The following is a 13577-nucleotide window of genomic DNA, read 5'->3' as shown; positions in this document are numbered from 1 at the left end:
TAGGAACAATTTTAATGACATTATCAATCTACATATCTAGAAACATTGAGGAATAATCTGTCACTTTTATCAGCTGTGACGAGACTTTGAGATTTAGGACAGGTTATTTTCACTTTCATGACTGTTTTGTGTTAGTTCACTTTGTTTATATTTGCTTGATTCTGGGTTTATCCTGTTTCTTTAAGCTAGTTAGGATGTAGCTTTTCTTTTCTGAATGACTCATTTCCTAATTAGTTATTTTCTAACTGGAAATTACTTATTTCGTAATACTTTATAATTCAGAATATGTACACAGGACTATTCCCTGTTGTGATTTCTTATTCTCTCCTTATTTTAACCTTGTGTGGTACCTTCTGGTTCAAAGTAATTTCAATAATATTCTATTCTATGGCTGGGCGTGGTGGCTCACGCCTGTAATCCCAGCACTTTGGGAGGCCGAGGCAGGCGGATCACGAGGTCAGGAGATCGAGACCATCCTGGCTAATGCAGTGAAACCTTGTCTCTACTGAAAATACAAAAAATTAGCTGGGTGTGGTGGTGGGCGCCTATAGTCCCAGCTACTAGGGAGGCTGAGGCAGGAGAATGGCGTGAAGCCGGGAGGCAGAGCTTGCATTGAGCCGAGATTGCGCCACTGCACACCAGCCTGGGTGACAGAGTGAGACTCCATCTCAAAAAAAAAAAAAAAAAAATTCTAGGGTTGGGGGAGGGGGGAGGGATAGCATTGGGAGATATACCTAATGCTAGATGACGAGTTAGTGGGTGCAGCGCACCAGCATGGCACATGTATACATATGTAACTAACCTGCACAATGTGCACATGTACCCTAAAACTTAAAGTATAATAAAAAAAAAAAGAAAAAAAAATTCTATTCTGTGTGTGAATTAAGCTATTTATATTTAAAAATTATAATCATATAAAGATGAGACTAAAGGATTAAGAGAACATGTGTTCAGAAGCAAAATTTATCAATTGTCCAAATTATTAAATGCTATTAGTGAAATTCTTAGTGAAAATATGGATTATGTGTACATATTTTAGGCTTCAATTTTCCTTATTAATATAGATATAATATTTTGCCTTGAATTAGTATTTTTGCCAGTGCTACCATTTTGGCAATGGTATTTCCCTGCTAATCTGATCTTTCCTAAAAGAAAACTTAAACCATTTTTGACTTCAACAGAAAGACCTGAAAACACTTTTATTGAAATGTAGGTTGTGTTAAACTTTACCTTGGGAGGTTATTTGTCTCTTTTGTGGCACTACAGGATCCGTTACAGATAATAAATTAACTAATTTTAGGTTATGCAAATCTTTTGGCATCCTATACTAAGAAATATTCAATTGGTTCCACTTTCACTTCTGCTTATTTACAGAATGTTGTTTATGTCTTACTTGTGTTCACTTTGATATTTTTCGCTTTGGCATTTTTTTCCTTGTCAGATAAATTGAAAGATAACATCTGGGGAGATGCTGGGCAGGTGGATGTCAGAGAGACTTCCGCCTTCCATCAGCTCCATGACTTCTGCAAACTTCCTTCATCTGTGAAATGGACCTTAACGTGCATACCTGCTAAGATTTATCTGAAGATGATATATGTACCTTGTAATTATTGTTGCCTTTATTTATTTATATTCTATTAATTTTTTTTTTTTAAGATGAGGTCTCGCTCTGTTTTCCAGGCTGGAGTGCAGTGGCATGATCACAGCTCACTGCAGCCTTCACCTCACAGGCTCAAGCAATCCTCACACCTCAGAGGCCTCCTGAGTAGCTGGGACCACAGGCATGTGCCACCATGTCCAGCTAATTTTTTTTTTTGGTGGGGGGAGCAGAGACAAGGTCTCACTGTGTTGCCCAGGCTGGTCTTGAACTCCTGGGCTCAAGTGATCCTCTTGCCTTGGCCTCCCAAAGTGCTGGGATTACAGATGTGAGCCACTGTGCCCAGCCTATTTGTATTCTTTTTTTGATCCAAAAAGGACTGAAGGAGCTCCTAAATGCAGATTGCACAGTCCCTGGCCATGGGGCAGGATGTTGAGTTATGATGAGTGAGTGAGTCAACATGTGTGTACAGTAAGGAGTGCTGAGCACATCTTACAGCTTATCCGCTGGGCTTCCCATCCTCGCTCTGCTCACACAATAATGTAAAACACTCATTACTATGCTTGGAACACAGGAGCCACTTACTAGATGTCAGGCAGTAGTATTATCTCATTTAATTCTCACAAAAGTGCTCTCAATATTGTACTAAAATTACGCATATTTTGTATATGAGGAAACTGAATCTCAGAGATACTAAGTAACTTGCCTAAGGTCACACAGCTAATATGGTGGAGTCAGGGCCCAAGACAAGTTTGTGTAATTTCTGAGGCTATATTTTTAAACACTAAGCTACACTTGAGTGTCTTAGGGGTAATTTTTAATTATCTTAACTGATTGAGAAATTGAAAGGTGCTTTTTGGGGCCAGGCACGGTGGCTCACACCTGGAATCTCAGCACTTTGGGAAGCCAAGGAGGACAGATCACTTGAGGTCAGGAGTTTGAGACCAGCCTGGCAACATGGCAAAACCCTGTCTCTACTAAAAATTCAAAAATTAGCTCAGTGTGGTGGTGTACGCCTGTAATCCCAGCTACTGAGGAGGCTGAGGCACAAGAATTGCTTGAATCTGGGAGGCAGTGGTTGCAGTGAATCAAGATTGTGCCACTGCACTCCAACCTGGGTGACAGAGAGAGACTCTGTCTCAAAAAAAAAAAAAAAAAAAGAAAAGAAAAAAAGTCATTTTTAATGTATTTAGCATTTTTGTTTAGAATAAAAAAAATTTCATTTTTTTTTTTTTAAGTAAAAGAACCCCAAATCTGGTAAAGTTGGATTGTGAATATACATGGAAAACTGACAAAACAGTAAATATCACTAAGAGCCTCTGGGAATGCAGTGGAAGTTTAATTGAAAGCTTAGAAATCTATGGACATGATTTTTAATGCTTTTTAATTATGTTTAAAAAGGTAATTATAATTTTAATTTTATTTAATTAACCATAGATTTACAAATTATGAGATTAATTTATAAAAAAGCAAATTTACTTTTGAGCTCATTCCTTTGACTTAACATTTGCTAAAATTAACTTCACCTTAAAAAAAACTCTTAATCAGATTTTCCTTTCGACTGTTTAATTCCCGTCTAACATTGTGAGATTAATCAATTTTCTGCATTTTAGACCTTAAACGTACAAAACTAGATAGTAATCAATCATGAAATGGTTATTAAGCTTTTAATCTATGCTTAGCACCTGCTTAGCACCAAACAAAGTGCAGTGAGAGAGAAAGAAGCATGTGGTCTACATTTTCTAGTACCTTAAAATCTGTGGAAAGATATAAGATGATGATGAACTATACAAGAACTATACATAATTGAGCACTAAATTTTGCAGATCAAATTAAGAATTTTGCATGTAGTTTTAAAATATTGCGACCCTCACCATCTCCCTTTAAAGAAATGTGGAGTATCTATCATGTCGTGAAAGGTAATGAAATTAGTCATGGATTTCATTGTATCAGAAATGTATGAAATAAAGAACAGAATAATGCGAATCAGTAATACATGTGCCTGAGATTTTAGGCTTCTGTTAAACATATTCTGACAAGCTGCATTAAAGCAAATACTGTTCTCCTCCTATATATACCTTCCGTCCTTGCATAGTTCTCACTGCACTTGTCTATCGTGATACATGCGACGCATCCCCTTGAACTTCTATGATTCCTCCCTCCTCCATATTTATGTATGTATTTAATTATTTTAGAGATGGGGTCTTGCTCTGTTGCCCAGGCTGGAGTGCAATGGTGTGAACATAGCTCACTGCAGCCTTGAACTTCTGGGCTGAGGTATTCCTCCTGTCTCAGCTTCCCTAGTAGCTGGGACTATGGGTATGTACCACCATGCCTGGCTGATTTTAATTTTTTTTTTTTTTTAAGAGATGGGGCCTTGCTATGTTGCCTAGGCTAGTCTCAAACTCCACGCCTCAAGCAATCTTCCTGCCTCAGCCTCCCAAAGTCCTGCAATTGCAGGCAGGAGCCACGGTGCCTGGCCCTAATCCATATTTGGAATCCCTTTAACACCACCCTTTTACACTCTCTCAATGCAATTTTTCCTACCTTCTTGCTTCAAGTCTGTGTTTGCTGGTGTAAACAGCCTCACTAAGATGAAGAAACTCAGAGTGGCCGATTTAACTTTCTGCAGATGGTGGATACCCATTGACTAGCTCACCTGCCATTTACGAAAAAACCCAAGTCTTTGGCTGACTGAAAATATCAACTGAATTACTGGTTATAATACTCATTTTCTCTTCTCCCACTCATGTTTTTTGTCTAATCTCTGGGTTCCTCAGTTTCTGCATCAGGACTTTTAAAACTGCGTCCCTGCTTTCTTTGAAAATATTCTTATCGTGAGATAGTTGATCAACACAAAAGATTATATATAATGTGTACATGCAAGTTTTGTAGGGTGATAGTAAAAAGATAACGTGTGAATTCGCCATCAAATGTAAGAACTAGAACATCACCAGTAACAGGGAAGCTCCCTGTACATTTTTTCACCAGCAGGTCTTGTCACCACTCCCCTGAAAGTTGTTATCAAGCCCCCTCCCACCATACATTCACCAGTATGCACTTGTTTTTTTTTTTTTGAGATGGAGTCTCGCTCTGTCACCCAGGCTGGAGTGCAGCAGTGTGATATCAGCTCACTGCAACCTCCGCCTCCCAGGTTCAAGTGATTCTCCTGCCTCAGCCTCCCGAGTAGCTGGGACTACAGGGGTGTACCATCACACCCGGCTAATTTTTGTATTTTGAGTACAGCTAGGGTTTGGCCATGTTGGCCAGGCTGGTCTCAAACTCCTGACCTCAAGTGATCCACCTGCCCCGGCCTCCCAAAGTGCTGGGATCACAGGCGTGAGCCACCATGCCCAGCCCTGTGTCTACATTTCTTGCTTTTTCCTCCCCTCAGCGTAATGTTTCTGAGACTCATCCACATAGATCCATGATTCACTTATTTTAACTCTTAAATAATATTACATTGGATTTATTCATTCTCATGTGGATGGATATTTAGGTTGTTTCCTATTTTTTTTTTTCTTTGAAAATAGAAACAACGTTATTAAGAACATGTTGGTCCAGGTCTCCAGATGCTCTCTCTTTGGAGAGAAGCATGATCTGGTGTAGAGCTGGTGAGCTGTAGGATGTGCCCATCCTTGAATTCATTGCCAAGTGTTATTTAATCTCCTTTTAACGTGAACTCTCCTTTAACGTGAATCTCCTTTAACGTGAATGGTATGGTCATAAACATACCATTTATGACCTACATAATCTCCAATTAGTGTTATTTAATTGTCATTCAACAATTTACCAGTCTCTGGTCCCAGTTGGCTTCCTTCTTCCTTCATCCGCGATGGCTTTCTGCCTAACAGTGGCCTTTCTCTTTAGTGGATTCCATTGTCTCCATTTACTGATGTTTTATAATAGTAATAATTGCGCTGTTTGCAGCATTTGGGGAAGAGAACTTTTATCTCAGCATTAGTAAATAATTCCATTTGCCACTCTGCCTGTTATTTTGTTTTTCAGAAGTCTTCCTTTTTAGTCACTGTGAGCCTTTTCCTTAAGCTGGTCCAGAACTGCTCCGGTGTCCAGGCTGTCACCCTGCATGAACTTGGGAGAGCTAATTGCTGATGACTTCAAACACAAACTGTCACTAAGGGTGCACACTTTGGCAGAAATGCACATACTTCAGCAGCAAAGGCCGTTTTTAAAATTTAGTGAAAAGAATGAAACTAATATTTGCTGAAGGGTCATATCCTTGCTTGGTATTTTCACATGTTATTTATTTTCACCTTGCAAACATTCATTTAATGTGTAGCATATTGCATATTTTCTTGTTTTATTTTCTGAGGATCAGGAGTGTTAGATAAATAGAACAAATTAAGATCACAGAAAAGAATCGGTTTAAATTCAGGTTTCTTGATTCTTGCTTTAGCGTTCTAATCTATGTTGCAGGAAGTTATATATGTACACATGCATATCATGTTTCTGTGCATACATGCAACATATACACACAGACACGTAGAATGTCAACACATATGACATATATAGAATTTCCATAATATATAGTATTCAATATTTGACATAAGACATTTTGAAGTTACTTCTGAAGGCAAATATGGCAAAGCAAGTTGCCTATTACATGAATTTCTCACATTTGACTTTGAATGCGTTTTCAAAGTGCCTTTCTTCAGTCTTGAAGGGATAAGACTGTAGGGAGATAAGACTGTGTTACTTCCCAGGTATGGCACATTCTCTTTCTGAGCTCAGGTTGGTAACTTAATTCTGTCCTCTCTCCTCTTTGTCCTTCCTGCTCCGTTCTGACAACAGTGTGTAACATGCCTGGTGGGGTCTTTCGGGGACGCCAGGGCCCTGAGGCTGGGCCCAAGAACTTTTGCTTTCTTCTGTGGTCCTGGGACAGTTCTCTGACAGTGGCTGACTGGGGGAGGTGGCTGGATATTGCCTGACTCTACCTGGGCTTCTCGCGTCTGTCCTGCACACTTCCAAGGAGTTTGCAGGATAGCAGCCAGAGAAAGCCTTTTAAAACACAAGTCAGGGCATACCGCTGTTCCGCATACAAACCTCCACGGGCCCCATGACCCACAGGGAAGAAAAGCCAACATCCTCAGGGCGTGCAAAGCCCCGTGTGACCACTCTCTGCAGTCCTCTTCCTCTTCCCTCCCACTAAGGTTGCTCCAGACAGAGCGGCCTTCCTTGACCTTTCTAAAGGGTTTTAGGGCTTTGCTCTGTCTGTTCCCTCTGCCTGCATAGCTCTCCTGGAAGAAGTCTGTGTGGCTTTCTTCCTCCCTCTTTGAGGCCTTACTGAAATGTCACCTTCTTACTGGGGACTTCCCTGACCACCCTGTCTAGAAGGGCAGACTGCCTGACACTTCACGTCCCCTTGTCTCGCTATTTTTCTCTCTTAGCGCTTCCCACTAACATACCATTTATGACCTACATAGATCTTGTGTGTTTTTCATCTCTTGCATTGTAATTAACATAAGCCCCATGAAGGCAGGGACCATTGACTTCTCTTTGTCACATCATTTCTATACCTGGAACAGCTCTTGGCCCATAGTAGGTGCTCAGTAAAGATTTGCTGAATGAGCAAAGGATTGTCCATGAAAGCAATGCTCTTTCCTTGATAGAATCTGCTGTTGATCTAAACTATTACATCTTGTAACATACATAGGAAGAATCAGGGCATAGAAGTCAATGAGAAATTTACATGTTTGTATTTACTGGGAGCCTTGTCATACGTGTGTACAACACATGGACACGGGGGCTGGTTATGTTCATCAGAATTCTTTTGATTGTAAAAGGAAGAGATTAGCTCACGTAACGGGCAAACCTGGTATTTCTGGCTTTTGGAAGAGTTAAATTCAGGTGCTCAGATGGTGATGTCAGGACTCTCTCTCAATCACTCTTTTGCTTGCCTCTGTGTTGACTTCATTATTGGACAGTGGCCACATGGTAGTCAGCAACTCCACTTTTACAGCCAGTTAAACTAGCCAGACCATAGCAAAAGAGCACCCCTGATATGGTTTGGATGTTTGTCCCCCTCAAATCTCATGTTGAAATGTGATCCTGAGCATTGAAGGTATGCACTAATGGGAGGTGTTTGGATCATGGGGGCGGATCCCTCATGAATGGCTTTTTGCCCTCCCCACAACAATGAGTTCACGTGAGAGCTGGTTTAAAGAGCCTGGCACATTCCCCTGCCCTTGCTCCCTGTCTTGCCATGTGACACGCTGGCTCCCCTTCACCTTCCATCATGATTGGAAGCTTCTTGAGGCTCTGACCAGAAGCAGATGCTGGCACCATGCTTCCTGTACAGCTTACAGAACCATAAGCCAAATAAACCTCTTTTCTTTGTAAATTACCCAGTGTCAGGTATTCCTTTATAGCAGCACAAATAAATGACACAACCCCTTTCCCAAGAATTCCTGCCAGAGTCCCAGAGCTGAGGCTTCTGGATGCTTGCTAGATTATGTGGCCCTCCCGAGATCTATCACAGGGTCTTGTGGATGTGGTGTCCTTTTTGGCTGGATGAGGTCATGTGAGGGCAAAGGGGCCACATGAGATTGGAGAGAGACATCCTGCTATTTCCCTCTGTCCTCTGTTCTCTTTTTATATCCACTTGCCTCCTAGAATCAGACTACACATGACTGACAAACCATCTGATACCACATTTAAAATTAGACCTAAGTAAATAGGATGAAAGTGGGTGGGAGTGTGGAAAAGAGAGAGCTGATGAATGGCTCGGAGTTTCCCTATGTGTAGTAAAGAAATACTGGTGGGCTGGTGCTTGAACTGGTGCTGAGAGGGTAAGAGGCTTGGCTGTGTTTCACACCATTCAAAAGAAATAGGAATCCTGCAACACTCTGCAAGCCATTTTTAGAGGTGATTGTACACTTCTCAAAGTTAGTCACACAACCAGCAAGCCAAAGTCAGATGATTCTTTTGTGTCTTGTGAATGTGGAAAGGATTGTTGAACAGTAGTCAGCTCAAAACCTGTGATTCTAGGCTGGGTGTGGTGGTGGCTGATACCTGCAATCCCAGCACTTTGGGAGGCTAAGGTAGGAGGATCACTTGAGGCCAGGAGTTCAAGACCATCCTAGGTAACATAGTGAGAACCCATCACTACCAAAACAAAAAGAAAAAACCAAAAATACCTATGATTCTAGAATTTATTGGTTTTTCTTTTCACCTCTGTCTTTGGAAATTGCTATTAAAAAATACAGACGAGTAACAAAAATAATATGTGATTGTGCCTTCTCTGAGACTGGTGTTAGGAATGCTAGAACTTGTCTCACAGGCATTTCTTCCTATGTCTTCATGCCTGTTGCTATTCCAACCTTGTCATCCTTTTAACTTTTATTATTTTACTACTCTGAGCTCCAGTGCTTACTACCAGCAAAACTAAATAGCTTGCCTGCTTAGTTAGGCATTAAACGCTGAGAATGTGCCAGCATGTGGATCTTTACCCATGCTGGGAGATGGAGGGTGAGAAGGCTAATCTCTCAGCATTTTATGTGGAAGAAAAATATTGCAGTTTATTTGACCTTTTACTTATGGGAATAAAGTAAGGGGTTTAGTGCTTTTACAAATCGAAAGTACAGAGAGAAGAATTAGGTATTCTTAAGCTAAAAGCGATGAGAGTATCTAGATTTCCGTGTGTGTGTGTGTGTGTGTGTGTGTGTGTGTGTGTGTGTGTGTTTTTCTTTCAAGCTTGTCTGGTAAAAGAAAATCTTGTCGTATCCTTGAGGATAATAATGCTTGATAGAATTGGGTATTTAAATACAGACATGATTCAACAGAAACAGCCATTCCATGTTCAACGAAGTGAACTTTTCTACCTTCTGCAGAAGACTACACTACACTAACAATCATATTGAATAGGCAACCCTAAATTAACTTAATTAATTTTAATGATCAATGTAAGTGTTGATTGGAAGCTTGTAATTTTGAATGTAAAATGGGGATTCTATGGATTATCAAAATATGTTTCCAAATTTCTTGATATTTAGGCTTAAAAAAAGAACAAAGTGATGTAACCATCTCAGTCATTAACAAGCCAAATCTTTAACTGGTGTGACAGTTATTGTCATTATGCTAATAACAGGAGATGGGGTTCTGTAAGATGAAGCATTAGCTGTTCCAGTCCTCCGAGGAAACAGTAAAATTCAGCTCCATTGGGTTGTAATTAGAAAAGAAGTATATTTAAATACTGAAAAAAATCTTCGCTACTTCAGCACACAGTATGCCAAGGGCATGTGTGAGCAGCTTTTTAATCTCTAGGTGTGGCCTATTTTATAAATATTTTCATAAGCATTTATGTACTTGCCATTTGGCAATACAGCATTGTGTAATTGTATCCATATGTTGGCCTTCTGAAGTTGAATAAAAACTTCTTGGACAGGGCTAGCTGTCAATTCTTCATCTCCCTCCTCCATAGGGCAGTTTAGGCTCAAAATGAGGCTTTTTCACTGACAGGCGGGCACAGGAGGAGAAGAAGATTTAGCTTTCTTTTTCTACATTTTCTTTCCTTTCACAGTAGTAATGGTATTAATGGTGATAATCATAATAACTATTATGGAGTACTTACTTGTTTCTGTCAGCCAGATTCATGCATCAAGTAGTCTGATCCCATCCCTACAACCTCTTAAATAGCCATTGTTGTTTGTTATTGCCGCTGTACAGATGACACCACTGAGCACAGAGTGGTTAAAGAACTTGCTTAAAGTCACACAAATGGTAAGTGGAGTTTCTGTGACACAAACCAGGTAGCCTGGCTGTTTCCTTCTGGTTCTTAACTGCACCTCCGGCTGAGATCTGTGTTTTTAGCCATTGTTTCCAATTCCAGCAGCTTCGTTGGCCCAGCCTATCCCGAGTGGGATTCGTGATCCCTCTGTTCACTTTTCTTTTCCCCCTTCTTGTTAGGTCAAGTACAAAAGAGATTTTGAAGAAAGCAAAGGGAGGGGCTTCAGCATCGTCACGGACACTCCTGAGCTACAGAGACTGAAGAGGACTCAGGAGCAAATCAGTAATGTAGGTGCCTGTTTATTCAATAGCATGATGGCTCTGATGTGCATTTCTGGATGAGAAAGGGAGGCTGGATGACTTGGAAGTGTTTGTGTTGCTGTGGGGTGCAAGCAGTACTCAGTGCACGCATAGACTATGCCAATTTCATCTGGTAAACCCTGCCCTCTGGTTCCATCACAGTTATCTAGGACCCGGTGCTTAGTTACCTAATAGAAGATCTCCTTATTCCATTTTGAATGGTTCTCAGCTTTCAAATTTTTCCAAAATAGGCCTTTTATAATTAAAATAAGAAACTTGAAAGTTAAGTTTTGACTGTGGATAAGCATATAAAATATACATATAAGGTTAGGAGTCTTAAGATCTCCTATTTGCCGACTAGGTGTCTATAAGATTTCATATTTTGAATTAGATATTTGTTGAAATCAGGTATTACATCTTACTTTTGAAATAAACATTTATATATGTAGTTGCTTTGGACTTGAAGCTGTGCCTTGTTTATTAATATAGTTTCCTCAAAAGAGAAAATGGAGACTAGGAGAAGTTCAAAATGTATTAGGGAGGTATTAATTCAGTACTTATTAAAGGTGGATAAACAGCTCTTCTAAGTTTTGGTAATTCACACCTGTGATTATGTTTCTTCCAAAATATTACATGAAGTGTGTCAGGATGTATTTTTCTTCACAAAAATTAATTCAATGTTAGATATCCAAGAAGAAATATGGATGAAAATTAACAGATGTGTGAGTGACATAAAAGTATGAGCAAACAGGCAACACTCATACCATTTTTCACGAGAACTGTATTTTGTGCGTCACTTATAAAGTCACTAAAATTTGTATATCTAGGTGTTATAACTGATGTAGCCTTAATTTCCAGGACATGTTTAATTAGCAGGTGGTTTTAAACTCACTGATATTTGGTCATCATCATGAGATGTATGTATACATGTATATATGTGTGTGTGTGTATAAAATACATGTGTATATATTATATATGCATTTATATATAAATATGTGTATATATACACACATATACACACATATAAAATTTGCAGATAGAATTATGTATAATTTGAGAAAAATACTTTTTATATGTCTAAAGTTCAAAAACAGAATTATTTCATGTTAAACAATTTATTAGGAAGTGGGAGGATGCAAAGTACACATTGTTTTTTGCTCTTTAAATGGACATTTTATATTAGTAGGGATTTCCTTTGAAGAAAAAGAGTTGAATTTTAAGACTTCATGACATTTGTCTCTTAGTTTTTCTACCCCATCCCAGCAATCCATCAGTCATGAATACTGAAGATCACTGCCTTATTTTTCTTCCTCTTTATTCTTTCCTTAAACCAAAAACCTATTTTTGCTTTTAAGAATGCAAATCAATGATCTATTACACTGGCAGTTACATTTAATAACAGTTCTTTCTTTGGATTATTTTTGGCAAATGTTTATCTAAAAAATAATTCTGCCAAAAACAGTTATATTATACATCTTCAACAATCACTGAATTTTATTTCAAAAAGAACTAAACATTTCTACCTAAGACATCCATGTGACAGCTAACATAAGGATTGAAGCTGATCAAAGGTAAGCCTTTTAATTTTTATTCAAATTTAGTCAATATTCATGTTTAATTAAAAAATACTGATCATTTTACCAACCTTTATCATTAGCAGGAATATACATTTTATTCAATACCAGAGGTGGTTTGCAGATCCATTCTTAATTATGCAAAATACCCTTATCACACAGGTATGTATTAATCTATATTTATCATATATAATATGTTATATAGACAGCAGTATAAAAAGCACCATTTAGATTAAGCCTATTATTTAGACAACTCTGATTTTTAAAAGCATGTAACTTAGACAACATCTTTTTTTAAAAAAAAAACTTTTTGCGATGTCTTAATGTTAGCAGCCGTAGCAGTCTTATAAGTAGTTCTCTTAGCCAATATGAGGCATATTAAATGTTTGGATAGCTGTAAAAAATATAGACTTCATAATATTACCATTAGGGAACAACTCTTAAAGAAGGGAGGCTGTTAAGTGCTCTGAGGTCTGGTGAATTTATTATTCATTTATAAGACTGCAACTTCATGAACTTTTTCCCTTACCTCACTAGGTTTTCCATATTACTCAAGGATCTTTTTCTATAAGAAACTTGGGTTGATCCAAAAAGTAGTACTTTGGCAAGTCCAGTTTTCCATATTACTTTAATCTAAACCCACTGAACAGTATTGGCTAAAACCCAAACAGATATTTTTTGACAGTGGCTGGATTGTGTCTGTTATGAGAGGAAACAGGTGAGAAAGTGTCTAGACTGGAAAGACCCCAGAATCTTCCGGCTAGAGATGCTGGGAAATTATAATCCTGAAAATTATAGATCCTGAAAATTATTAGGGGTATGAAATTTGTGAGTCTTGCATTTGAGTGCCAAGTTTAATATAGGTTAATATAGGTAGGTTAACTAAGATCGGCAGTCTTTGCTGTCTTTATGTTTCCCTGTGTTTCATTTTCTCCTATTTGTTTCTAGTTTATCTCTGAATATTGTGTGGCTCTTTCTTAGCTGCCTTTAATCTCTCTTGTATAAAGACATAAAGCAGTGAATTTAATGACAACTCCTAAGTGTTTTGGGTAATATGTTACGGATGAATGGGAATTTTTGATTGCTTATGTCTATGTCAATGTTTTGAAATTTTTTCAGCTCTTCTCATGTTTGTTTATTGAGGATTTGAAATCATTTGGAAATGACCACTCAGTCTGCATGTTACTGAGGTGTGGGATAAAATACAACCGTAAATTTCAAATTGAGTGTGATGAACGAGGTGAGAGTGGGTGAACTTGCCTTTTCTGGGTAGCTGTAATGACAACATATTGAACATGGGAGATTTGTTAAATACTGCAATTTATAATTCTTCTGCTATGTTACCCACTTAGTGTAGCCAC

The 13577-nt window shown here is 38.7% G+C and overlaps 1 protein-coding gene across 12 annotated transcripts in view, besides 1 other annotated feature; it reads left to right on the top strand.

The window, feature by feature from the left end:
* The window catches only part of NEBL (nebulette), a 513078-nt gene that overhangs the window by 320749 nt on the left and 178752 nt on the right, over positions 1-13577 (top strand). For 10 of the 12 annotated variants that reach the window (NM_001377326.1, NM_001377327.1, NM_001377328.1 and 7 more), the window contains one exon: positions 10523-10630. In NM_001377326.1, the coding sequence (NP_001364255.1) occupies positions 10523-10630 (108 nt within the window). Of the gene's footprint in view, positions 1-10522; positions 10631-13143; positions 13457-13577 lie in introns of those variants that run through there. The other 2 variants (XM_047424443.1, XM_011519291.3) reach the window with 2 other exon arrangements.
* Positions 3464-3633: an enhancer, noted in NCBI's record as "experimental_11562 CRE fragment used in MPRA reporter constructs". NCBI's record gives its function as "activates a minimal promoter by MPRAs in K562 erythroleukemia cells, with activity observed for both the introgressed and non-introgressed 10:21257683 variant alleles {active_cell/tissue: K562}" and the evidence as "EXISTENCE:reporter gene assay evidence [ECO:0000049][PMID:34662402]".

The sequence above is a fragment of the Homo sapiens genome, chromosome 10 (assembly GCF_000001405.40).
Source record: "Homo sapiens chromosome 10, GRCh38.p14 Primary Assembly".
NCBI classification, from domain to species: Eukaryota; Metazoa; Chordata; class Mammalia; order Primates; family Hominidae; genus Homo; species Homo sapiens.
The sequence above is the reverse complement of the archived record's forward strand: the minus strand, read 5'-3'. Positions and strand labels throughout refer to the sequence as shown.